Source organism: Homo sapiens, chromosome 8 (genome assembly GCF_000001405.40).
Source record: "Homo sapiens chromosome 8, GRCh38.p14 Primary Assembly".
Classification (NCBI taxonomy): Eukaryota; Metazoa; Chordata; class Mammalia; order Primates; family Hominidae; genus Homo; species Homo sapiens.
Window position 1 is genome coordinate 27,901,626 of NC_000008.11, and position 26,020 is coordinate 27,927,645.

General features: G+C 49.3%; 1 protein-coding gene and 1 long non-coding RNA gene across 8 annotated transcripts in view; one reads left to right on the forward strand and one right to left on the reverse strand.

The window, feature by feature from the left end:
- The window catches only part of SCARA5 (scavenger receptor class A member 5), a 122,791-nt gene that overhangs the window by 31,743 nt on the left and 65,028 nt on the right, over positions 1 to 26,020 (reverse strand). For 3 of the 4 annotated variants that reach the window (NM_001413201.1, NM_173833.6, NM_001413203.1), the window contains 4 exons: positions 19,946 to 20,620; positions 8,038 to 8,118; positions 5,523 to 5,621; positions 3,153 to 3,209 (listed from right to left, as the gene is read on the reverse strand). In NM_001413201.1, the coding sequence (NP_001400130.1) occupies positions 3,153 to 3,209; positions 5,523 to 5,621; positions 8,038 to 8,118; positions 19,946 to 20,620 (912 nt within the window). Of the gene's footprint in view, positions 1 to 2,736; positions 3,210 to 5,522; positions 5,622 to 8,037; positions 8,119 to 19,945; positions 20,621 to 26,020 lie in introns of those variants that run through there. The other variant, NM_001413202.1, reaches the window with a different exon arrangement.
- Positions 1,048 to 8,690, forward strand: LOC105379342 (uncharacterized). 4 transcript variants are annotated; one of them, NR_188145.1, is made up of 3 exons: positions 1,048 to 1,299; positions 7,365 to 7,433; positions 8,559 to 8,690. It is a non-coding gene; the product is annotated as an uncharacterized LOC105379342 (long non-coding RNA). The 4 variants fall into 4 exon arrangements; NR_188144.1 differs by having other exon boundaries at positions 1,048 to 1,294; positions 7,365 to 7,469; NR_188147.1 differs by lacking the exon at positions 7,365 to 7,433.

Consider the following 26,020-nt stretch of genomic DNA (forward strand, 5'->3'; position numbering starts at 1 on the left):
ACAGCTTGATGTTGTTGTGGTCAGAGCAAGCTGGTGGGCAGAGGCTGTGGGAAGACACCCCGCAATGGGACAGGCACAGACCTCAGCCCTGAATCGTGACAACTATTCCCCTCCAGCCCCAAGGTCCTTACATCTGCATCTGGAGCTACCAGTGAAAGAGGGGATTACTTGGGGTTTTAAGGAGCCCGGCCCTACTACCCAAGACCAGGGGCCGAAGCCCCCATCCCAGGGTCAGGAAGTCAGCGGCTGGGGATTTTGTTCAGCCTCAGCCCTGGCCTAAGGACGTGAGGAAGTCCGTCCTCCCCTATGGGCCTCTGAAAATGGGGAGATGGAGGCTGGCCTCCCAGTTTCTTTGTTCTACGATTCCTCTGGGTCTCCCAGAGTCCTCCTCATGTTGTGTAGAGCTTCCTGTTCATGGAGCTGTCTCTGCTCAGCCCCTTCACCTCCCAATTTCACTGCCTCTGGAGACTACTGGGGGTGGGGGTCTTGTCAGAGGGCAGGAAAGAAAAGTTCAGCGCTTTGTGCAAGCTTAGGCTCTGGGTTCTGTCTGAGTTCTGGGCTGCAATGAGGGTGTAGCTCTTCGAGGCAGGAAAGAAAGCCTCAGTCCCTGAGGGGAGGCTGTCCAGAGCTGATGTCACCTCTTGCTGTACAGTCAAGAGGCTCCAGGGCCAAGTGGAGGGGGTGGCCTCCCCCCACGCCTCCCCACCCATCCCCAGGGAGCCCCGCACCCCTGTGGCTCTGGCTCTCACCTCCCTGCACCGTAGCTCTGGCCTCAGGGCCCAACCCCAGTACAGAGCCCACCAGCCTGGCCCACAGGAGCAAGGTGAATAGAGACCACGCATCCTCCACAGCATGGGGAACGCCCTGCTGGCTCGACCTCCTCACTTGCTCTCTCAAGTCTGCTGAAAGAAGAGCCACCAGAGAATTCCCAACAAGAGCCCCTCTGGCATGCGGGCAGTGTTTCTGATCTCAAAGCCATCTTTCCACATAGTTCCTCCCTTCCTGCCCACCCCCATCAGGAGTTGTTTATTTCTCAGAACTAAATGCCACGATCCTTCTCAGCTACCTTGGCAGCATTCTGTCAGAAACCAGTCAACAAACAGAGCAGGGAAAAACAGCACCCCGAAGACAGCATTCAGGACCCAGCCCTTTAGACAAAAGGGATCAGATCAGGTCTACTAGATGGCCTCATTCAGTCAGACACACCCAGTTAAGCAGCCCTGGAAAGGGACTCTAGAGAATGCTAGAAGTACTGTGAAGCTCGCAGATGGCCTTGTGGACTTTAGCACTTCAGGTGAGGTGAGTGTGGGGGGTCCAGGATCAGCCTGGGCATTTCCTTGTTTTTCTACGGGCAAGTCCATCACTTTCAAGGACAAGGTGCTGTCACCTGCCTTGCTCCTATTTGATCCTGAATCATGCCTCAGGGAGGGGAGGGCAGGGCAGAGAGAAAGCAGGGGCAAGTTTAAGTGTCAGGGGGCCTTGGGGAGGCCTCTTTTTGGGAGTGAGGTCTCCTTCTGGTCCTGCACAGCTGGGACTAAAGTGTGATGTGAAGGGCCTACTGCACCATACCATCCTGAGTGTGCTTGATCTCATCTGAAGGACCTAGTGAGACCAAGGAAGCATGAAAATAGCAGACCATTCAGCTGTAGTTTACATCTCAGCTGATATGAGCAACTGAAGAGAAGGCAGTTGAAGTGTCTGATGTGTACTGCATGGCCAAGAGTAATCGTGTAATGATCTGGAGGATTAGGCAGGCACCAAGAAGTGAGCCAAAGTTTCATCATATAGAAATGTTAGATGGTGTGGGAAGATCAATGAATGAGTAATTAATAATTTTTATTAGCGGGTGTGTTTTGCAGGTCTTGGCCATTAGTGTTCTTCTAGTTGAAGCACAACAATAATTTTTCATGTCATTAGTCATGGTTATCGCCCATGTGGGAATAATGGCATATGCTCTATTTGTTTTAAGTGTCCTTTTGGTTGTAGGATTTGTAGGTTTCTCTTCGAAACCTTCTCCTATTTATGGAGGCCTATGGCTAATTATTAGTGGTGCTGTAGGTTGTGGTATTGCGTTGAATTTTGGTGGGGCTGATAGTCTTTGATTTATTTGGGTGTCATGAGACCCCTTTCTGTGTCCAGCTTGTGACTCTGCAGTGGCCCCTGTCCCTGAGTGTCCGGGGGGAAGCTATTAACACAGGGACTCTTTCCCCAGGCCCCATCCTCCCAGAGCCAAGACCGGAGCCTAGATGCCAGAGGCAGTGATATTCTGCTTGCGCCCTCACGTGGGACAGAGCCAACTAACACCACATGCTGGGTTTGGTGTTTTTTCTTTTGCTCCTTTTTAAACTTGGCTAGGAGACTCTGTTCATTCTTCTCTGGCAAGTCTCCAAGATTCTACATGTAGCCCTCTCTAGGGGAAAAGTAAACCTTAGAAGAGTGGCACAACTAAATAAGCTGATCCCCTTGTCAACATTCTAGCAAGGACCGCATCAGAAAGATGCCCATTACTAACAGGGTGGTCTGCCGGATCGCAAGCTCTCCAGCGTCACTCCTCCATCAGTGGCAAATGGGGAAAACAAAGGCGATGCCACTTTGTCTCTGCACCTTTCCCTGTGTAACACCCAGGGAGGGGAGGCCTTTAACAAGGTCAGTAGCTGAATTTGTGCAAGCACCTCTGATGATTTTAGGAAGCGTGTCTGAGTGGGTGTATTACACAGAATAATAATCACAAACAGGTACTGAGTCCTCACCAGGTGTCCAGCATGATCATAAGCACTTTACACAGATTAACTCATTCAATTTTCACAATGACCTTATAAGGTAAAGACTCCTGTTATCCCTATTTTATAGATGAGAACACTGAGGCACAGAGATTATACCAGCTGGGCTAGCGAGTGACCGGGGGAAGCCTCCAGATCCATGCACACAACCGCCAGGTTTATGACACCTCTAGAAATGTGGCCAGTGCCCCTGGGGTCTATCAGCATCTCTTGCTAGACCAGCAGAGCCCTAAAAAAGGTAGGGAGCCTCCTTTGACACTTGAGCCCCAGCCATGGCTCCAGCCTCTGAACCTCCAAACTTATGGGGCTGCTTGGGGGACAGCTAGCCCTGTGCCAACACCATATCCCACGGCCCCAGCAGAATGTCCTTACTGGCATCCCCAGCTCTGTCTCCTTTCTCTCCTTTCTCTCCTTTTGGGCCTCGGTCACCTAAAACAGAGGAGGAAACTGGCATTAGAAATGGAAAGAAATCCTAATTGTGAATAAAATATTACCTGCAGGAGATTGATGAACTCGAGACCAGAGAAACCCTCAGGCAGGAGCCAGCAGCAACTGGAGAGCCCAGCAGGCAGGAGAAGAGGGCAGCCAATTCTGCCATCTGCCCTGGGTACCCCAAGAAGGAGGAGGCATGAGTGAGAAAATCCCACCCGTTTGTAAAGAACCAAAGAGCACATGGAATTTTGCAGGAAGAAGACAAGTCAAAGATAGTCCTATTAAACACTCAAGGTTTTAGAGGTCCACATCCAAGTTTGTTCTAATGAGCCCAGGGGAAAACAAAGGAGAGGGGGCTTTAGTTAAATAGGGGGAGAGGCGGGTTCTATGTTGAGCAGGTTTTCTTGTGGGAGAGACCATAAAACATAAGTGTGAGATACCAGGGAATTGTGGCATTTCCTTCCCAGGATATGGCTAAAGAAGACCTGTTTGGCCAGCTGGCATCTCCCTCTACAAAGAAGTAGAAAATCCTGGCACCACTCACTGGACATTAAAATGACAAGGGACTTCTATTCCAAGGACCCCCAGAAAGACATCTGCCAATCAAAAGCCCATGGGCATGCTGTCTGGTGAAAAAATCAAGCCAGCAAATTCCAGGGGAGAATGCCCAGGATGATCCAAGATTTGGGGGGGGGAAAAAAAAAAGGCAGCCATATACATATATAGGAATATGCTCAGAAAAAGATCTGGCAGGGTGTGCTCCAAAGCATTGACAGTAGTTATTCTAAAGAATAAGAGCTGGGGGAACTGAGGGGTGGAGACTTTTTGCTTTATGCACTTCTGTGTTGTCTAATTTTCTTTTCTTTTCTTTTTTTTTTTTTTTTTGAGACAGGGTCTCACTCTGTCACCCAGGCCCAGGCGGGAGTGCAGTGGTGCAATCTTAGCTCACTGCAACTTCCACTCCCCGGGTTCAAGTGATTCTCCTGCCTCAGCTTCCCAAGTAGCTGGGATCACAGGTGTGCCCCAACATGCCTGGCTAAGTTTTGTATTTTTGGTAGAGATGGGGTTTTGCCATATTGGCCAGGCTGGTCTTGAACTCCTGGCCTCAAGTGATCTGCCTGCCTTGGCCTCCCAAAGCGCTAGGATTACAGGCATGAGCCACCTTGCCCAGTCTCTAATTTTATTTTCAACAAGCATGTGCTGCTTTTACAATCTGTTTTAAAATCAACTTTTTAAAATGGGATCATAAAAGGAAGGAAAACCTCAGCCTGTTTCATCACTGACCAGAAAGTAAAATAAAATTTCTCAGTGATCTAAGATCAAGAGATCACCCTAGACATGGAGTGGGAATGATTAGCAGTACTTTTTTCTTAGTTTTCATTTTAACAAGTGAGGAGTAGAAAGCCTGGGGAAAGAGCATCAGATGTCCTTGTCTTCCGCAGTGATGCTACGAGGCTTAGACAATCTTGAAGCGAGCATGAAAAGACAGACTGACTGTAAAAGTAGGTTCCCCTAACGTAAACAAGGGGACTGCCTACAGGAAGAAGAGCAAATCAGAAGGAACATTTTTGGCACTGTAAATCTGAGAATTGAATTAAAATTGTAAATCCTGGGGGAATAAAAGAGTATATAGAAGGTCAGGAGTCTGGCAGGACTAGGGAGGAGGGCTGTCCTGGGCCTGCAGCCCTGGTGTCTGCCCTGCAGGCCCCTTGTTGGCTTTCTCTGGTTACATCTCTGGGCTGCAACCTACCATAACACTCCCTTGCATTTCTACAGGGACTTTAGCATTTGCACACATACGTGCTTGCTCACTCCTCCTGACAGCCCTGTGAGATATAGTATCATGAGGATTTCTAGATTTTTGTGTGTGTGTTTTATTTTGTTTTAGAGATGAGCTCTTGCTCTGTCACCCAGGGTGGTGGCACAATCATAGCTCACTATAGCCTCCAACTCCTGGACTCAGGAGATCCTTCCCACTCATCCTCCCAAGTAGCTGGGACTACAGATAAGTGCCACCACACTTGGCTAATTATTTTATATTTTGTAGAGATGGGGCTCTTGGGCTCAAGCAATCCACCTGCCTGGTCCTCTCAAAATGCTGGAACTACAGACATGAGTCACCACACCTGGCTGAGGGTTTCTAGTTTTTGGAGGAAAAACTAAATGCTTTAACAAGATGAAGAGACTTGTACAAGGTTGCCCCGCTGGTCCGTGGCACAGTGAAGATAAGAGTCCTGGTCCCCCATGCCAATGCCCATGTGCTGCCTGGGACTGGTGGTGAGGCTCAGGGAGAACTGAGATTGTTATTACCTTTGAACCCACGCATGCCCATTGGTCCTGTGGCCCCCAGCTTCCCATCATCGCCCTTGGGCCCGGGCAATCCTGGGGTACCTCTCTCCCCGGGCAGACCTGGGGAGAAAACAGACAAATGGCAGAGCCTCAGATGCAGAACAGGAAGGACCCTCAGAGGTCATCGTCGGGTTCAAGGCTCAGCCTCCCCCATGCATCCTCTCTTAGCCTCTGTGTCTGGCTTTTTTCTGTTAATCTAAAGATGCCACCACAGCAGAGTCAAAGAGGTCCACATGGACCCTCCCATGCACACCTTGTATCCATCAGGCTTGGGATCCTCCTGCTAGAAAGGTCCAGTGCTGTTGTGAGTGACGGTGGGGGTGCCTATTCCTTTGGGGGTGTCCCTTTGCCCTTCAGCATGCTGGAGACTTAGAATCAGCAAACACTTTTTTTTTTTTTTTTTTTTGAGACAAAGTCTCGCTCTGTCACCCAGGCTGGAGTGGCACGATCTCGGCTCACTACAACCTCCGCCTCCTAGGTTCAGGCAATCCTCCCACCTCACCCTCCCGAGTAACTGGGATTACAGGCACACGCCGCCACGCCCAGCTAATATTTGTATTTTTAATAGAGACATGGTTTCACCATGTTGGCCAGGCTGGTCTCAAACTCCTGTCCTCAAGTGATCTGCCTGCCTCGGCTTCCCAAAATGTTGGAATTACAGGCGTGAGCCACCGCGTCCAGCCTAGAATCAGCAAACACTTTTTTGAGTGCTTTCTACGTGCCAGGCCCTGCTCTGGATGCTTTTCATAAAGTATCTCATTTAATCATCACAAGACATTGGGAGGGATTATTCTGCCTGTGTTAGACAAATGAGCCAATCGGAGCTCAGAGAGATTAAGTAACTGCCCAAGGTCACACAGCAGTGTTGGAGGCAGGATCTGAGCCCTGCTGTTGCTGAAATGAGAGTTCATGGTCGGTCAGCATCGCTTCATGCTGATCAACAGGGCTTACTGGTACTTAGGGAGCGGGGTGGGAAGAAGAAAAAGTAGCTTCTCGTTTTATTTAAGGAAAAAAAACACAAAAAGATCCCTTCCCTTGCATACACACAGGGAGGTATAGCAAAAGGGATTGGAGGCGAGGTCAGTAAATGGATGGCCTGCTGCCAATCAAGCCCCAGGGCTCTTGGCCATGAGGCCCCTTGGCCACCTCCTGCGGTGACGGTGCCGGCGCCATGCAGAGCCAGCATAAACAAGTCCTTGACCGAGTGAGAGCCCTGGCCCCATGAGGCCTGGCCTAAGCGTGTAGTTATCTCTGCAAAGCAGAGCACCCTTAATTAACTGACTAATTGTTCTTTCCTGCTTGGAATATGAGTTGGTTTGCTTTGGGCTTTTTCTGGGACTCAGAGAAATCTGTCTCCCAGTAATGAATTACTCCTCTAGTCCGAAGGTCCAATGGCTGGAAGAAGACAGGTTTCTCGGAGAGAGCTGATTGGGTTTCCTCCTTTTCCCTCCTAATACAACATATCTGTTCCCAGAGTCCAACAGCTCCACTGCCACAGAATTATTGATCTAGCACAAGCTGTGCCCCAGGCTCCCCATCTTATGATTCGCTAGGGCAGAAAATGCAGTTCCAGAGCCCCATGAGCCCCTGAGCAGCCTCAGTGCTGACTTTAGGGAGGTTCCCTGAGAGGGGAGGGCCAGGAGTAGAGACTGGGCTGGGAGCTTTCCTTCCTCCAGGCACTGTCTCCTCTACTGTGTTTGCAACATCCTAGAGATTTAGGAAGCAGATGGTTTGGAGGTATAATTCCTAAAATAAATAACCAGACACCTTTTTCCCTCTATTTCCTTTTCTTCCATCACTTAGAAGACAACAGTCTCCCAGCAAAATGTTGCAAGCAGCACAGGCTCAGGAATGGACAGACTGGCAGGCAAGGTACAATGAAGGAACTCAACGGGAGCTTGGGAGACAGTGAGTCTAAGAAGAACCTTGTCTTTCTAGAAGGCCCAAAGTACCCTACCCACCAGCCACTGGCTCTTCAGGGCTGTCACTATGTGCAGCAGGATGGGGAGGGGACGGGTCAAAAGAGGAAGGGATAGGTATTCATGACCCATTCGTAGACCTGGGCAGGGTCAGCAGGAGTCATGGTGGGGCGGGAGGGTGGCAGGTAGCTAGTGATCAGGAAACACTGATGGGACAGCATCTTCAAAGGGTTGGTCTGGATCTCAAAACATCTCCAACTCCTTCTGCATGCTCTGCTCACACAGACCCTGGCTCCTGGGCTGGGAAGGGGCTTCAGGGAGCTGCAGGCCTGTCCTGTACCTTTTCCTTCAGACTGTGGCACTTGCTAAGGAAAAGTATGCGCTGCATCCCACCGTGACACCAGCAACCTCTTAGTCTCTTGTTGGAACAGAGCGTTTGAGGCGGAGTTGATTGGGCACTCCCCTGGGGAGCCCTGGCATTTATACCATCAAGAAAGTAGCGGGTAGAGATGGATTGGGGATCTCTCCCAGGTACCACCCAGGGGCACGCTCATTACCTCGAAGTCCAGGCAATCCAGGGATGCCAGGCCTGCCTTCCTTTCCTTCATCCCCCTGATCACCTTTGGGTCCCGGTGGCCCTGGAAAGGCAAAAACAGCACTGAGGTTAGGGGGCTCCCTTCTGAAACAGGACCAGGTCATCTGTAGAGGAAACAAAACGCCCTCTCTGAGGAGAGGAAGGGGCAGCATTAGCTTTGGAAACTCACAGGAAACCCCCAGCCCAGTCTCGGGGGGCATCAGGAAAGTCTTCCTGGAAGAAGTAATATCCAAAGTGAAATCTCAAAGAGAAACAGGAGTTAGCTAAGTAAACAGAGGGGTGGGAGAGGGACACACACACACTGAATATGTATGTCCCCTCCCAAAACCATATGTGGAATCCCTAATCCCCAATGTGACAGTTTTAAGAGGTGGGGTCTTTGGGAGGTGATGAGGTTTTGATGAAGTCACGGGGGTCAGCCCACATGGGGTTAGTGGTTTTATAAGTAAAGACACCAGGGAGTTCTCTCTCTCTCTCAAACAGACACAGCAAGAAGGCAGCAGTCTGCACACCAGGAGGAGAGTCCTCACCACAACTCAGCCCTGCCACACCCTGATCCTGGACTTTCAGCCTCCAGAGCTGTGAGAAATAAATGCCTGCTGTTTCAGCAGCTCAGTCTATGGTATTTTGTTGTGGCAGCCTGGGCTAAGAGTGAAAAGGGACAGTTCCAGGCAGAGGGAACAATCCCTACAAAGGCTGAAAATGAAGACAGAGATAGTAAGCCACAGCGGGATAAAAGATGAGGGACACACTGGGATGAGAAAGTGGGGCTCTTAGAGACCCGGCCTGAGTGTTGGACTCAGCCCCTCCTGAGGGCACCAGAGGCCACAGAGGTGCCTGAGAGAAGAGCTCAACCAGATCTGCACATGAGGAAGACGGCTCAGGCTGCAGTGTGGAAACTGGGTGAGAACAGGAGGGAGGCCGAGGCAGAGCCTTCAGTCCAGCCAGGTGGGAGGTGAGACCCCTGGATGAGGAGTGCGGCCATCAGAGGGATGTCAGGGACACATACAAAAGCTGCTTAGGAAGTAGAAGAGACTGACTTTGGTGAAAGTTGGGGAGGAAGAGGCCAGCGTCATGCTCAGATGTCTGGCTTTTGCACTTGGATGGAAGAGGGGTTTCTAATCTCTCCCGAGTGGGGCTGCCCTCCAGGCTGGGTCTCCCATGTGGCAGGGATTCTGTCATACATGATTGGATACAGTCCCCATGACAATGGCGTGTGCTGCAGTTACTCATCTGAGACCACACAGGCGGCGAGTGAGTGAGGCAGCTGTTGTTTCAACCCACATGTGACCTGCCCACGTCCACTCTGCAACACCCACAGGGCTAGACATCTCATCAGTTGCAGAATCTTCTTGCCAGCCATTGTCGCACCTGCTGTTCCCAAGCTAGTGAGCCCATGAGCCCTCCCTGCCAACCTCCTCGTCACTACCAGCTCTAAGGTGGCTCACTGCCCACTCCTTGCAAAAACCTCTCTGACCCAGTGTGCTGAAAGTTAGTGTGAGCTGCTTGAATGCATGTGCTTGGTGCCATTTGACAAGTAATCTCACCTGCCTTGTCCTCTTGTCATAGTGACTGTGTCCCATCTTTCCTAAGAAAATTGCCAGCTTCCTGAGACAGGACCATACCCTTTATATCCCTATACCTGCTGTGAAGACTCAGACTCCAAGCTCTCACCTCCTGCTGCTTTTCAAGAGAAAACAAGGACCATGGGGCCAGGTGTAGTGGCTCATGCCCGTAATCCAGCACTTTGGGAGGCCGAGGAGGGTGGATCACCTGAGGTCAGGAGTTCGAGGCCGGCCTGGCCAACATGGTGAAATCCCGTCTCTACTAAAAATACAAAAATTAGCCAGGCATGGTGGTGGGCGCCTGTAATCCCAGCTACTCTGGAGGCTGAGCAGGAGAATCGCCTGAATCCGGGAGGCAGAGGCTGCCGTGAGCCGAGATTGCGCCATTACACTCCAACATGGGTGACAAGAGTGGAACTCTGTCTCCAAAAAAAAAGAAAGAAGAAAGAAAAGAAAAGGAGGACCATGAAAAGTGGCCTTTATAGTGTCCCTACCCCCTTAAATTCACGTCTACCAGGAACCTCAGAATATGACTTTATTTGGAAATAGTGTCTTTGCAGACATAATTAGTTAAGATGAGGTTATATTGGGGTAGGGCAGGCCTCAGTGCAATGGCTGGTGTCCTTATAAGAAGGGAAAACAGAGACACAGAGATATGAGAGCACATGTGGCAACAGAGACAGAGATTGGAGTGATGCATTCCCAAGCCAAGAAACACCAAGAATTGCCAGCAAGCACCAGCAGCTGGGAAGGGCCAAGGAAGGGTCCTCCCACTGAGCTTTCAGAGGGAACGTGGCCCTGTGGATACCTTGATTTCAGACTTCGAGTCTCCAGAACTGTGAGAAAATAAGCTTCTGTTAAACCACCAAGTTTATGATGCTTTGTTATGGCAGCCCCAGGAAATCGAAACACACAGACCCACAGTCCAGCAGTAACGTCTTGCACAATAAATATTTGATGAATGAATGAGTATATAAGATCAGAGGGTGTTAATAATACATACAAAACAATCAGCCAGCCAAGATTGAGATGTACTGATAACTCCCTCACACTGGCACTGTCCTCAGACCTAACCAAACTTGACAGACATTTAATAATTCCATGGCACGCACGCAGGGAAAAAAGTAGTCAACAATTCTTCAATTCACAAGTAATACAGATGATTTAAGAAGGACTAGATTTTGTGATCCCAGTTTTCAGACCACATGATTGAGTTAGAGAACCTGTTGGAAACAGACCAAAGATGGCACAGAAACGAAGGGCGGAGTCAGGAAGCAAATGCGTTCCACTACCCCTTCCCAGCGATCTCCCCTTAAGGCCAAGGCCAAGGCTGCAGCAAAGGGAACTGGGAGAGGGTACCTAGATCTCTGCTGCTGGGCTGGATGCCCACCCCTTTCTCTCCTCTCTGCCTCCACCACCCCGGGTGCTCCAGGAACTGAGCTGGTCACAGATGCAAGGGACTGCACCCTCCAATTTCACCTGCCCCTCAGATGCAGGTGCAACCTGCAGGGGGGTCTTCCCAGGAGTCACTCTCGCCAAGGGAGGATGCTGCCCAAAGACCCTGATGTAGGGCCTCTGGGTGGTAGACATCATCTGGAAGGTGGGCATTGAGTATGGATATTGAGTCTTGGGTTCAAGTTCTGATTCTATTAAATGTGCAGTTGTAGTGAGGACTGAGTGGATTCAGTGGCATGATGACTAGAGAAGGGCTTCAAAGCCTTGAGTGAGGGGGGCCATCCCGATCACCTCACTCTGCATAACGCCTCCTCACTTTGCATAACACCTCCTCAGAACCATTATAGGATGACAACTTCCGGGTATTCCAAGCGCACCTGAAATCACCCTGTGGAGTTTGGCTGGGTCATCCAAGGAGAGGCAGGGCTCAAGAACATGCTACAGATGGATTTTGTTTTAAACATAACTATGTGGTTATGAAGGTCTTTACTGGAGATTAACTGGGAAGAAGGTGGGGTGGGCAGTAAAGGTGGGCACCAATTCCCAAGCCTTCATCACATCCTCAGGTGGTACAGGCCTGGCTGACTCAGAAGGGCTGATGATTTGGCCAGAGCCTCGAGGGGCCGAGCTGCCAGGGGCTCCGAGGACCAAGTGATCTTTAAATCACTGATGCTGCCTGTAGGTGAAGCAATCTCAGGATTTGACTTTTTAGTGTGTTTACTGACACTATCCTTTCTTCAGAAACCCAAGCTGGAAATCTTGAGCCTGCTCTGATTCTTCTTTCCTGTCCCCCTTTTGCATCCCTTTCCAGCTACATGCATCTGTGATTCGAGGCTTCTCATAAAGGAAGGTCCTTCTCATGTCTCCACCTCCTTCCTCACTGCCTCCACCCTCGTCAGGTCCTTATGGCCTGGCTCTGGCCTTTATAAGAACCTCCCTGTCTCCGTCTCTCTCCAGCCCATGTGTGCCTTGCTGTCTGATCCATCTCTCTGAAACAACAAAGCAACCAAAGGGACTCAGAGCACGGGAAGGCCCCTCACTGCACCACAGGTGCAGCTTCCCCTGTCAAGGCCCCTGCAGATCACTCACGATCTGACCCCTTCTGCTGCAAACTTACAGCTCGGTGCTCATGGTCACCAACTTTCCTCCACCTCTGCACAAACGCTCTCCTCATAGTGTCCCTGAACATTAGCCAAATCCTAAGAGTCCAGTCCCTCTTAGTCCTGAGACTGCCTTCATGCCCACTGATTTGGTTTGGCTGTGTCCCCACCCAAATCTCATCTTGAACTGTAGCTCCCATAATTCCCATGTGTTGTGGGAGGGACTCAGTGGGAGGTAACTGAATCATGGGGGTGGGTCTTTCCCTTGCTGTTCTCGTGATAGTGAATAAGTCTCATGAGGTCTGATGGTTTTATAAAGGGGAGTTCTGCACACACTCTCTTGCCTGCTGCCATGTAAGATGTGCCTTTGCTCCTCCTTCACCTCCTGCCATGATTGTGAGGCCTCCTCAGCCATGTGGACTGTGAGTCCATTAAACCTCTTTTTCTTTATAAATTACCCAATCTCAGGTATGTCTTTATTAGCAGTGTGAGAACAGACGAATACACCCACCCTTCTGGTCTCTTAGTGTACCATGGGCAGAGCCCCCAAATCTCAGAGCTAGAAGGAGGTGGGGAGATCCTCGTGCACAATGCCCCTGTGGGAGCACCCGGAGCCTGGTCAGGTGACCTCTGCCCACTCCCTGGGCACTATCCCCCACCTCGAACTGTGGTTCCCAAGGAGGACAGAACCTTCTGTAGGGCACTGTCTGTGGCCTGTGCCTTGCACACACCCAGCAAACAATCAGGATCTGAAGAATGACTAACGTGTAGTAGCAGAAGTGCCATGACATCTGTTGTTCCAAGAGGTACCCAGGTTAGCTTTTTCACTTCTCAACTTTCTACACCATCTCATTTCTCATCTTTTCTGTCACCAAGGCAGGCCAGGGCATGGAGGTGGCTGGGACAAGGAGGAGCAGGGTCCTGGGGTCCCTGCTCAGGCTTTGTCCACTCATCTAGCCCACTCCCCTCATGCTCCCCTCAGTGCAGTTGCTCCCACCAGAAGCATCTTCCCAGTGGGACGAAGGGTCTGGGACCAGGCATTCAGGAGAAGCACCGGGGTTTTCCTGGGGATCAGCCAATGAGGGGAAACCCATGCCTTCTCCCTTCCCTGATCCCAGAACACATGACGGGGTAGGGGACCTGTGTGGGCTGGAATCCAGGAACTGATGTGCCAAGAGCAAATTATGAGGACAGCTGATGAGCCTGGCCTGGAGCCAGCAGTACAGTCAAAACCACCCCCAGAACCATGCTAACCACAGGCCGGCTGACAGGGTAGAGTGGCTCAGCAAACAGCTCCACTTCCAGTACCCTCAAGTCACCAGGGCCTGGATTCTGAGCCCCTATCACCTTTACAATTGTGAGGTCTCTTTTTTTCATCATTTAAGGCATCTCTCTGTGACCCTGAGAAGTGGACAAGGCAGGCACTGTCAGCCCCATTTCACAGCCGAGGAGACTCAGGCCCAGAAAGGTGCTGGGACTGCCCTTGCTACCGTCCTCCGAGCCCCCAATGGAGGGTGGTGGGCGGGGCTGGGGGCAACTCCACCCACTTCCCAGCAGAGTCCGTGTGGAAGGAGATATGAGAGCTTGGCTCACCATACAACGTCCCAGGGACCTCAGCCCAGGCCATGCTCCTCAGCCCTCAGTAGAACAGAAAGGCCACTTTACCTGTCACTCCACTCAGAGATGTTCCCCACTTTCAGCAGGTCCCTACTACCCAGAAACCAGAGTCCCAGCATTAGCCTGGAATCCAAAGCCCCACTCTGTGACGTCATCCCTTTATAAATATTTGCTGAACTGGACTCTCTAATAGATTGTGTTTTTTCTCACGAAATCAGCCCACAGACAAATCTGCTTTGCGAACTTGTTTTCATGAATCCAGAGATGTATTTTTTTTGTCCCAGCCAGGTCACTGGATGGTTTTGTGACTTCAGCCAATCATCTCCCCTCTCTGGCCTCAGGATCCTCAACTACAAAACAAAAAGAGTGGACTGGATGATTTCAGATGTATTGCCACTCCATCCAAATGCTGTGATTCCAGAAAACCTGCATCCTTGCCAAAGAGAGCCATCTGAATGTGACTTTGTTCAGGTTTCCCCTTCTGGGCTGCCTCCCCTCTCTGGTTACCTTTCCCCTCCTGGGCTGCCTCCCCTCTCTGGTTACCTTTCCCCTCCTGGGCTCCTTCTCCTCTGTGATGATCTAAGTTCTCTGCTTCTTTCAAACCCACAGGCAGATTTCAACAGACCTGATTAATGCTAAAAATCCAAAACAGAAAATAGAACCCCCACTGCAGATATTCACAAGAGAAAAACTGGAGACAAAGCTCATCAAAAACTGTATAACAAAGTAAGAGAATAAAAACCATTTGGGTCAAGCTCAGGAATAATGTAAATAAGCTCATATTTGAAAAAATACACATAGTTGAGTATTTGTGACTTCTCAGCCAGGAAAGAGCAAAGCGTGAGAGTGTGGTGAGTGTATGTGTATATGTATGTGCATATATGTGTATGTGTATATGTGTTCATATGTATGTATATACATGTGCATGTGTGTGTACATGCACATTTGTATGTGCATATGTATACGTATATGTGCAAACGTGTACACATGGGTATGTGTGTTTATGTCTGTATATGTGCAGGTATGCGTATATGTGTGTGTGTGTATATTTGTGTATGTATGCAGGTGTGGATGTGTGTGTGTTTAAAAACCTTAATAGAGGAACTAGATAAAGCTAGGGCAGAAAGGCCACTGCAGACAGCAGTATGGGAATGCCTGGAAGCTTTTCTAGTGACCTAGCCCTTGTTCAAAAGCCAGGGTAGAGTTTGGTCCTGTTAAGGCTGCATGGTAAATACGTTCAGATATACCAGCAGGAATCTTTTTAATAATAATTACCAGGCACCTGGCAACAGAGACAGGGAGGCAGGAAAGACCCTAGATGCAGTGGTGATAATGAGAGCTGGAGGCCCAAGCACTGTCGAACTGTGAAGAGCCAGGAGCCCCAGTGCAGTGATCTGAGTGTTTGCATCCCCCCCGATTTCATATGTTGCAACCTAATCACCAAGGCAATGGTATCCGGAGGCAGGGCCTTTGAGAAGTGATGAGTCAGGAGGGTGAGGCCCTTGTGAATGGGATCAGCATCCTTACAAAGAGGACTCCAGGGAGCTGCCCCATCCCTCCCACCAAGTGAGGACACAGCAAGAAGTCACCAACTATCAACCAGAAAGCTGGTCCCGAACAGGGCCCAACTCTGCTGGCCCCTGGATTTTGGACTGCCCAGTCCTAGAACTGTGAGCAATAAACCTCTGCTGCTTATAAATGTCCCAGTCTATGGCATTTTGTTATGGCAGCCTGAACAGATGGATACACCCATCAAGAATCCAAAGCTTAAAGACAAGAAAGCAGGACTAAGATGAAACTTTCAGTTCAACAGAACTGAGTGTAAAACTTAGTTTGAGGACCAAAGAAAGACTACATGGAGGATCCCACCAGAAGAACCATGGCAAATGAGTGACCCAGGGCAGTTTCAGTTTGAGCCAAGGAGATTGGACTTAGAAATGAAAGAACCCGGATGTGAAGTGTCTGGGGAGGTCTGAGAGGGTACATTAGCAGGAGGCATGGTGACGTCTCTAGCTTGGAAGAGGAAGGGCCTGGAAAGTGCCTCAAATACAGGGAACACGCTTTCCTCTCTTCACTGCTTACAGCTCGGAAGCAAAATGCTTCCATCCCAACAACCAGGGTTTCTGGACCAGGCAGACCCAATTTAGATCTTGGCTTTACGGCCTGCCAGTTGTCTAAGAAACAGTGGGAAGGCTATTCAGTCTTCTCATCTATAAAGTGGGCAATAAGACCTTTTTGCAGGATGTGAGGATTCGTGGTCTTGAATGTCTATTTGAGAATTCATGTCTACAAAATGCCTGCCTCATTATAGGTCATAATTCACTGTAATTGTTATTTAATACTATTAGTTAGTTCCTGAACACTAATCCCTGCTAGGGGCAAGGGAGGTCAAGGAAAAGAGAAGACAGGAAAAGCTAAGATCCCAGGGGCATGTGTTTGGAAGAAGAAATTCTACCTCCTTCCCTCCTTTGATTTCTGGGATGTGAAGGCCCAAAGTGACCCAGGACCAGGAACCCAAACTGGGTAGGGGAAGCCTCTGATCGTCCAGTGTCAAGATTTAACAGTTGCTTTTACGAATATTGAGTCTCAGTTATGTGCACTGCACTCTTAATGCTGGGGGACACAGAGACATACAGATCCAGGTGGACTGTGGGTAACAGAATGAGAACCAGGCATTGGGCTTAAAGGTCCTGATCATTGAACTGTACACCTGAAAAGGGGGTATTTCATGGCATGTAAATTACACCTTATTAAACCTGGATCATTACCAGCCATGAGGCCTTGAGTAAGGCAGGGACTTCCTCCCTGAGCCTCAGTTGTTTTCCTGCCAAAATCCTACCCTGCCCTCTACAACATCTGCCTTAAACCACCTCATAGATTCTCCTCAGGTCCCATTTTAAAACAAAACAGGGTAACAAAAGGGCTGTGTAAACTGGAAAGGATGCAGAGGGCCCCATCATTATACTTTCACTCTGATAAATGCAGAAACTCAGAAGAGGGAGACTTCAGGGAGCTAGAAAGGTTGGGGGGGGTTCAGTAGGATTTGGGTGGGCGAGGAGGAGGAAAAAGAGGAAAAGGAGGAAAAGGAGGAAAAGGCAGAGGAGGAAGAGGAAAAGGAGGAGAAAAAGAAGGAAGACAAAGAGGAGAAGGAAGAAGAGGAGGAGAAGGAGGAGGAAGAGGAGGGGGAGCAGGAGGAGGAAGATGAGGAGGAGGAAAAGGAAGATGAGGAGGAAAAGGAAGATGAGGAGGAAAAGGAAGATGAGGAGGAAAAGGAGGAAGATGAGGAGGATAAAGAGGAGCAGGGAAAGGAAGAGGAGAAGGAAGAAAGGGTGGAGGAGAAGGAGGAAGAGGAGAAAGAGGAGGAGGAGGAGGGGAAGGAAAAGGATAAGGAAGAAAGGGAAGAGGAGAGAGAAGAAGAGGAGAAGGAGGAGGGGAAGAAGGAGAAGGAGGAGGGGAAGAAAGAGGAGGAGGAAGGGAAGGAGGAGGAGGAAGATGAGAAGGAGGGGAAGGAGGAGGAGGAGAAGGAGGAGGAGGAAGAGGAGGAGGAGGGGAGAAGGGAGGAGGAGGAGAGAAGGGAGGAGGAGGAGAGAAGGGAGGAGGAGGAGAGAAGGGAGGAGGAGGAGAGAAGGGAGGAGGAGGAGAGAAGGGTGGAGGAGGAGAAGGAAGAGGAGGAGGAGGAGAAGGAAGAAAAGGAGGAGAAGGAAGAAGGGGATGGGAAGAGGAAGAAGGGGATGGGAAGAGGAAGAGGGGAAAGAGGAGGAGGAGGGAATAGAGAAAGAAGAGAAGGAGGAGGAGGAAGAGACGGAGGAGGAAGAGAAAGAGGAGAAGGAAGAGAAGAGGTGAAGGAGGAGGATGAGGAGGGCCCTGCAGGTGCAGGAGCCTCTGGAGCACAGCTGTCAGTGGGGAAGGTGAGCTGTGCTTCCAGGGCAGTGACGAGATGTGCCCCACTAGACTGGATGCATCACCCACAGCAAGACCATGTATGGCCCTTGAGTTAAACAATTAAATATCTCGAGAACATCACATGTTTCTGGTTTCGTTTGAAACAGAGGCAGACCTTGTCAACCTGGGTCCACCTTCCAGCCTGGCAAAAATGGGCTAGACCTGCCATAACCCTTAACACTCCCCTGACATTGCAGTCTCTACTCCTTGACATTGCTCACTGGCCTCTGCAGCAGTTCTCTCTGTGCCCCCTAGCATGAGAGGCAGTGGATGAGAAGGCAGGCAGGACAGGATAGGAAAGCAATGGGAAGCACACTAGCTCTGGGATCAGAAAGGCCAGCATGTAAATGCTGGTCCATCACCTCCTGGCCCTGCGGCTGTGGGCAAGCTATGGAAGCTTCCCAAATCTCAGTGTGCTTGTCAATAAAATAGGGAAAACATCACTCCCTTGGAGAGCCATTGTTTTCAAAAGATGCCCACATGAGATACAACTGGCACAGTAGGTAACACATACTAGATGCTCGCAATGGTATTATTTGTGCTGATGGCAGACTAAGGAATTTCTAACGAATCCAGTGGGCCATGGGGAGCCACAGTGGGCTTTGAGCAGGGGGATGACGTGGGAGAAGTGCATTTCATGAAAGGTGTTTCTGATGGTGAGTGCAGCAGGAAGGAATTGGGGGAGGGAAGGGGACCAGTTTGTCAGGAGTGAAGAAAGGGAGTTGGGTCTCTTGGTTCTATCATTTGTGGGCCCACAGCACGAGTACAATGGAGGCCCATACATTTTTGCATTTTTGCCATTATAGTTAAGATTACAAATGGACTGGCATTCCATAGTCCCAGCACTTTGGGAAACCAAGGTGGGAGGATCACTTGAGGCCAGAAGTTCAAGACCAGCCTAGGCAACATAGCAAGACCTTATCTCTAAAACAGTAATAATTTTTAAAAACTGGCCAGGTGTAGTGGCTCAAGCCTGTAATCCCAGTACTTTGGGAGGCTGAGGCAGGAGGATCACCTGAGGTCAGGAGTTCGAGACCAGCCTGGCCAACATGGTGAAACTCTGTCTTCTACTAAAAATACAAAAATTAGCCAGGAGTGGTGGCACACACCTGTAATCCTAGCTACTCAGAAGTCTGAGGCAGGAGAATCGCTTGAACCTGGGAGGTGGAGGTTGCAGTGAGGGAGATCATGCCACTGAACTCCAGCCTGAGCGACAGAGCGAGACTCCATCTCAAAAAAAAAAAAACCAAAACAAAACAAAACAAAAAAACAAACAAAAAAATGTAGTGGGGCATGGCAGTGTGCACCTGTAGTCCTAACTACTTGGAAGGCTAAGGCAGGAGGATCACTTAAGCCCAGGAGTTCAAGGCTGCCATGATCACATCACTGCCCCCCAGCCTGGGCAACAGAGCCAGACCCCAACTTGAAAACAGAAAACAAAACGACAACAACAAAAACAGTTACAGGGCGCCTGTAGTCCCAGCTACTTGGGAGGCTGAGGCAGGAGAATGGCGTGAACCCGGGAGGTGGAGCTTGCAGTGAGCTGAGATCAAGCCACTACACTCCAGCCTGGGCTACAGAGCGAGACTCCGTCTCAAAAAAACAGAAAACAAAAAAACAAAATACAAAACAAACAAACAAACAAAAAACAGTTACAAATGAAACCAGCTGATCGTTCAATGAAATACGTTCTTTTGCCTAAATGAGTAAGTCTTCCTAAGAGCCTAGAAGGCCAGGTTCAAGTTTGGAATTCTCTAACTCCAGATCTCCACCCTGGGAATGACACTAGAGGAGCCCCTCTCTACTCCCGGCCTGAGCCAGTTGTTCTGCCCCCAGCCTCAAGCTCTTGGAGGCTCCAGCACACCCACGCAAGCTGACCACCAGGCTCCCATTAGCCACAACTGGAGCAAACTCTCACATCTAGAAGAGTGGCCACTGAATCTGCTCTCTACCCGAGGGAGGTTTACCTGGGAAGAGACCTGTGCAAGCCCTGGATGTGGGTACATGCCATTTGGGCAGAAAATTCCAGAGTCCTGTAGGGCAAGACTTAGAGAGTATGGGGCTGGGAATGGCAAGTGCACTTGGGGATGGGGTGGGGCTGGGGTACTCCTGGGTCCTTGGGGAGGGGCGTGCAGGAGGAAGACCCCATCAGAAGGGGCCGTGGGTGGAGGCAGCAAGGGCCTGGCGGTACCTTTCGCGAGGGAGATGTTCCGCAGTGCGATGGAGTGCTCCCAGTCCTTGAGGCGCAGGTCCTCGGTGACCGCGTTGAGCATGGCCAGCTCCTGCTTCAGCTGCAGCTCCATGCCTACGTGCGCCAGGCGCAGGCGGCGCGTGTCCTCGCTGGCGTTGCTCACCAGCACCCGCAGGTCCTGCAGCCGCGTGCGGTGGAGGGCCACGTCGTAGGACAGGCTGTGGTTGAGGCCGCGCAGCACGCCGCCCACGTCGGCCAGCTCCTCGCCCAGGATGCCCACCCTGCGCGCCAGCCCGTCCAGCAGGCCCGCGTGGCGCCTCAGCAGCAGCTGGCTACTGTTGCTCTCCACCTGCAGCTGGTAGAGCTCCAGCTGCGCCGTGTCGCTCTGCTGGCCCGTGCGGTCCCGCAGCAGGGCCACCGCCTGCTCGGTCTGCACCGCCTGCGCCTGCAGCCCCCACAGCGCGCCCTCCAGCCGCTGCACTGCGCCCGCCAGCGCCAGCAACGAGTCTGACTGGTTCTGCAGCGCGTCCTGCACCTTCCACACCTGCTCCGTCAGGTCCGCTTGCAGCGGAGCCTGCAGCAGCCGCAGCTGCAAGTCCCGGAAGCTCTCATTCAGCCGGTTCACATTGCGAGTCAGGGCCTTCAGGTCGTCAGGGGAGCTGCGCGGCCTGGACACTGCGGAGGAGGAAGAGGGGAGACTTGAGCACCGCTGGGGAGGAAGGCCCCGGGTGACAAGAGGCGAACCCAGTCAGAGCCTGGCATGCAGTAGGTGCTCAATAAATGATAGACGAATAAAATCACAGGTGGTGTGCTGAGCGCTTTACTAGATCCCAGGTATTGTGCTAAACCAGTGGTCCCCAAACCTGCCTGCACATTAGATTACCTGGCTAGGTGTCTCACCTGCAGAAATTGTGATTGAATTGGTATGCGGTGTTACCTGGGCTTTGGAATTTTTAGAAGATCCAGAAGTAATTCTAAGGTGCAGACAAGTTTGTGAGCTGCTGTTCTAGTGTAACTATCATAGGTTAATTCAGTGGACCCCTAGGAAACTGCCAGTTGCGAATGTTGAAAAGCAGTTGCATATCAGCAGTTTCATGTAGGTCAGCTTAAGATGTTGGGTGGTGTTATCCTCTCAACTTTAGAGGGTGGGTACCTGCTGCAATCTGAATAAGCCCCCCAAAATTCGAATGTGGAAACTTAATCACCAAAGTCATAGTAAGGGGGGTCTTTAGGAGGTGATTGAGTCACGAGGGCAGAGCCCTCGCGTATTAGATTAGCAACTTTTTAAAAGAGGTTTGAGGGAGCTGTTTGCCCTTCTTGCCACCTGAGGACACATAGAAGGCACCATCCATGAGAAACAGGCCCTCACCAGACATGAATCTGCTGGCACCTTTATCTTGGACTTCCCAGCCTCCAGAACCATGAGCAATACATTTGTTGCTTATAAATTACCCAGTCTACAGTATTTTGTTATAGCAGCCTGAACAGACTAAGACAGTACCATTCTTATCCCCTTTCAGAGCTATTAGCATTGCCCAGGGTAAAAATTTACAGCAAGTAAACCTTAACTAAGAATGCTTGCTCCAGAGCCTGGGGGCTTCCCCTCAAGTCAGCTCCAGGACTGCCTAAAGGAAGAGCACCCCGGCAGCAGACTCAGCCAGGCTCAAGGCCACCGTGTCTATTTTCTGGCCTCCTGAGTTCGGGGCCCTTTCCCTTCTGCTCACGTGCTGTGCCAACAGCCTGTCTGGGTGTTCTCAGAGTGTTCTCACGACTTCTGATAAGCCACAGTGTCTCCTGGAGCTCCAGGGGCAACATGAGAAGAAACTGACGTGAAATTATCAAGCTTTCCATTCTCCAACAGCCCTGTCTCAATACTTGTCACCCAATCAGAGTCCATGATTGGACAGACACAATCCAATGAAGACTGCTTTTATATTGATATGCTCCTTCTCTGCATCTTCTACTTCTTTGTGTTGTTTGTTTGTTGTGTTTTCTGTTTTTGTTTTGTTTTGTTTTTTGAGACAGAGTCTCACTCTGTTGCTGTCGCCAGGTTGGAGTGCAGTGGTGCAATCTTGGCTCACTGCAACCTCTGCCTCCCAGGTTCAAGTGATTCTCCTGCCTCGGCCTCCCAAGTAGCTGGGACTACAGGTGCATGCCACCACTCCCAGCTAATTTTTGTATTTTAATAGAGATGGGGTTTCACCATGTTGGCCAGGATGGTCTCGATCTCTTGACCTCATGATCTGCCCGCCTTGGCCTCCCAAAGTGTTGGGATTACAGGTGTGAGCCACTGCACCCGGCCCTACTTCTTCTTCTAGATCCTCTATTTCCTCTTCAGCAAAAAACCCATCCCAGTGATCCCCCACCCCTTCCTCTTGGAGGGTTCCCTTTTCTTGGTTATAAGCAGCTATTGCATAATACTAAGAACAGTGATGTGTGTCTTCATCGTTAGAATCTAGCATCCTTGTATCTCCTGGGAGGTCGTGGACTGTTCTGACTCAGGTATGCTACAAATCCTGAGTGGGGATGTCTAGGGATGCTCATTGTCTGTTAGTTGTGTCCTGTCCACGGCTGTTCCCCACTCTGCTCTGCATACCACAGAAAGGGAAATAAGGCCTGGTGGTGGGATAGGTAGGAGGTGGGGGCAGATGAGGCACAGAACAAATTCCACCTTGAAAATCTTGGAGGTAACTGGGGAACTTGGTACACAGCTTGTTCAAACAATGAGAAAAATCAGATGGAATAAGTTCTCATCCAGAACTTCACATTGAGAAGGAGGGATATAGGTTGTGAGGGCTCTCTAGCCATGGAAAGATCAGCTGTTACAATCTTTCAGTGATGCTTCTGGAAGCACACGGCATTTGTGGTGGCCACCCTGGAGGAGATAAGTCATTCCAGCTTAGGCTCAGAGGCTCACAGGGCTGAAGGGGTCTTGGAGCCTTGCCTCGACTTCTCCCCCACCCAGCACTTTAATCTAAGAAGGTCACATTGCAAAAGGGTCCTGGCACCCCTGCTTACACCAGTCTCTCCATCTTCAGTTAGTGCTGACTGTCAGAATTTTCTGTATTCTGTTCAGACTTAGAATTTGCCTCCTTGTATTCAATTAGGAAAAGAGGAAGTCAAATTGTCCCTGTTTGCAGATGACATGATTGTATATTTAGAAAACCCCATCATCTCAGCCCAAAATCTCCTTAAGCTGATAAGCAACTTCAGCAAACTCTCAGGATACAAAATCAATGCGCAAAAATCACAAGCATTCCTATACACCAATAACAGACAAATAGAAAGCCAAATCATGAGTATACTCCCATTCACAATTGCTACAAAGAGAATAAAATACCTAGGAATCCAACTTACAAGGGATGTGAAGGACCTCTTCAAGGAGAACTGCAAACCACTGCTCAACAAAATAAAAGAGGACACAAACAAATGGAAGAACATTCCATGCTCGTGAATAGGAAGAATCAATATTGTGAAAATGGCCATACTGCCCAAGGTAATTTATAGATTCAATGCCATCCCCATCAAGCTACCAATGACTTTCTTCACACAACTGGAAAAAACTACTTTAAAGTTCACATGGAACCAAAAAAGAGCCCGTTTTGCCAAGACAATCCTAAGCAAAAAGAACAAAGCTGGAGGCATCATGCTACCTGACTTCAAACTACACTACAAGGCTACAGTAACCAAAACAGCATGGTACTGGTACCAAAACAGAGATATAGACCAATGGAACAGAGCAGACGCCTCAGAAATAACACCACACATCTACAATCATCTGATCTTTGACAAACCTGACAAAAACAAGAAATGGGGAAAGGATTTCCTATTTAATAAATGGTGCTGGGAAAACTGGCTAGCCATATGTAGAAGGCTGAAACGGGATCCCTTCCTTACACCTTATACAAAAATTAATTCAAGACAGATTAAAGACTTAAATGTTACCTAAAACCATAAAAACCCTAGAAGAAAACCTAGGCAATACCATTCAGGACATAGGCATGGGCAAGGACTTCATGACTAAAACACCAAAAGCAATGGCAACAAAAGCCAAAATAGACAAATGGGATCTGCTCAGGGTGAGCACGCAACCTACAGAATGGGAGAACATTTTTGCAATCTACTCATCTGACAAAGGGCTAATATCCAGAATCTACAAAGAACTCAAACAAATTTATAAGAAAAAAAACAAACCACCCCATCAAAAAGTGGGCAAAGGATATGAACAGACACTTCTCAAAAGAAGACATCTATGCAGCCAACAGACAGGTGAAAAAATGCTCATCATCACTGGCCATCAGAGAAATGCAAATGAGAACCACAATGAGATATGATCTCATGCCAGTTAGAATGGCAATCATTAAAAAGTCAGGAAACAACAGATGCTGGAGAGGATGTGGAGAAATAAGAATGCTTTTACACTGTTGGTGGGAGTGTAAATTAGTTCAACCATCGTGGAAGACAGTGTGGCTATCCCTCAAGGATCTAGAACTAGAAATACCATTTGACCCAGCAGTGCCATTACTGGGTATACACCCAAAGATTATAAATCATGCTACTATAAAGAACATGCACATGTATGTTTATTGCAGCACCACTCACAATAGCAAAGACTTGGAACCAAGCCAAATGTCCATCAATGATAGACTGGATTAAGAAAATGTGGCACATATACACCATGGAATACTATGCAGCCATAAAAAAGGATGAGTTCATGTCCTTTGCAGGGACATGGATAAAGCTGGAAACCATCATTCTCAGCAAACTATCACAAGGACAGAAAACCAAACACTGCATGTTCTCACTCATAGGTGGGAATTGAACAAGGAGATCACTTGGACACAGTGCAGGGAACATCACACACCGGGGCCTGTCAGGGGGTGGGGGACTGGGGGAGGGATAGCATTAGGAGATATACCTAATGTAAATGATGAGTTGATGTGTGCAGCAAACCAACATGGCACATGTTGTATCAAACCTGCACGTTGTGCACATGTACCCTAGAACTTCAAGTATAATAAAAAATTAATAAATAAAATAAATTAATAGAAGATGCTCTCAGAGGATCACAAACACTGCCGTATAATCTAGACCTTAACTATTTCCTATGGGATTTATTTAGTGCAGTTTGATCTCAAGTGTGAGATGGTGAGAATCCTGAGAGGTTTCTTTCAGGTAAGAAAACCTGAGAGGTAAGAATCTGAGAGGTTCTGAGAGGTTTGTGCCAGATATGCATTTAGATCTCTTGGGATGTAGGCTGGAGCTGGCCACGTATTGAGACAGGGCTGTTGGAGAATAAAAAGCCTGATAATTTCATGTCAGTCTCTTCTCATGATGTCCCTGGAGCTCCAAGAGGCACCACAGCTTATCAGAAGTTGTGAGAACAGTTCCAGTTTTGGTTCTCAAACTGGGATCTTGAGTTCTGGTTTTCAAACTGGGACCTTGAGTGACTAAGAGTAACAGGGCAACCTCCCAGACTGAAGCCCCAGGGCCGATTCAAGGACACATCTGCCGAGGGCCAAGACCCTGAAGTGGACAATTTTCTTCCTTACCTCTGTCTTCCCCAGCTCTCCTAGCCCCTCCTTCCCTCTGTGGGGGTCCCTAAGCCCAGCTAGTCCTCTGCACCCTGGGAGGTCCCAAGGCCTGCTCATCGGCTGCCTCCTCACTTACCAGCTCTGGGCCCTGCTCCCTGAGCAGGAAACTGGACTGAAACTTGGTCCATATGGGGACGGCTGACAATCATCCACCCCTTCCCAGAGAGTTCATTTGGGTCTTTTATTGCTGTTCATTGCACAACAAATAGTCACATAAACCTAAACAAGGGAAAATTCTTCCAGTGTCCCACAACAGAGCACACTGGTTTCATTTTGTTTTTCTAACTCTGTTCATATGCATATTCAATCTTTATAATTTGATTTCTGGGTTTTTTCCCACCTAATATTATTATTATATTGTAATCATTTTATAAGCATTTTTTATCCTCTGTTTTATAATTATGATTTTGATGACTGCCTATAAGTCCCTCAAGAGGACACATTTAATTTACCCATTCTCTTACTGTTGAATCCTTTTTTT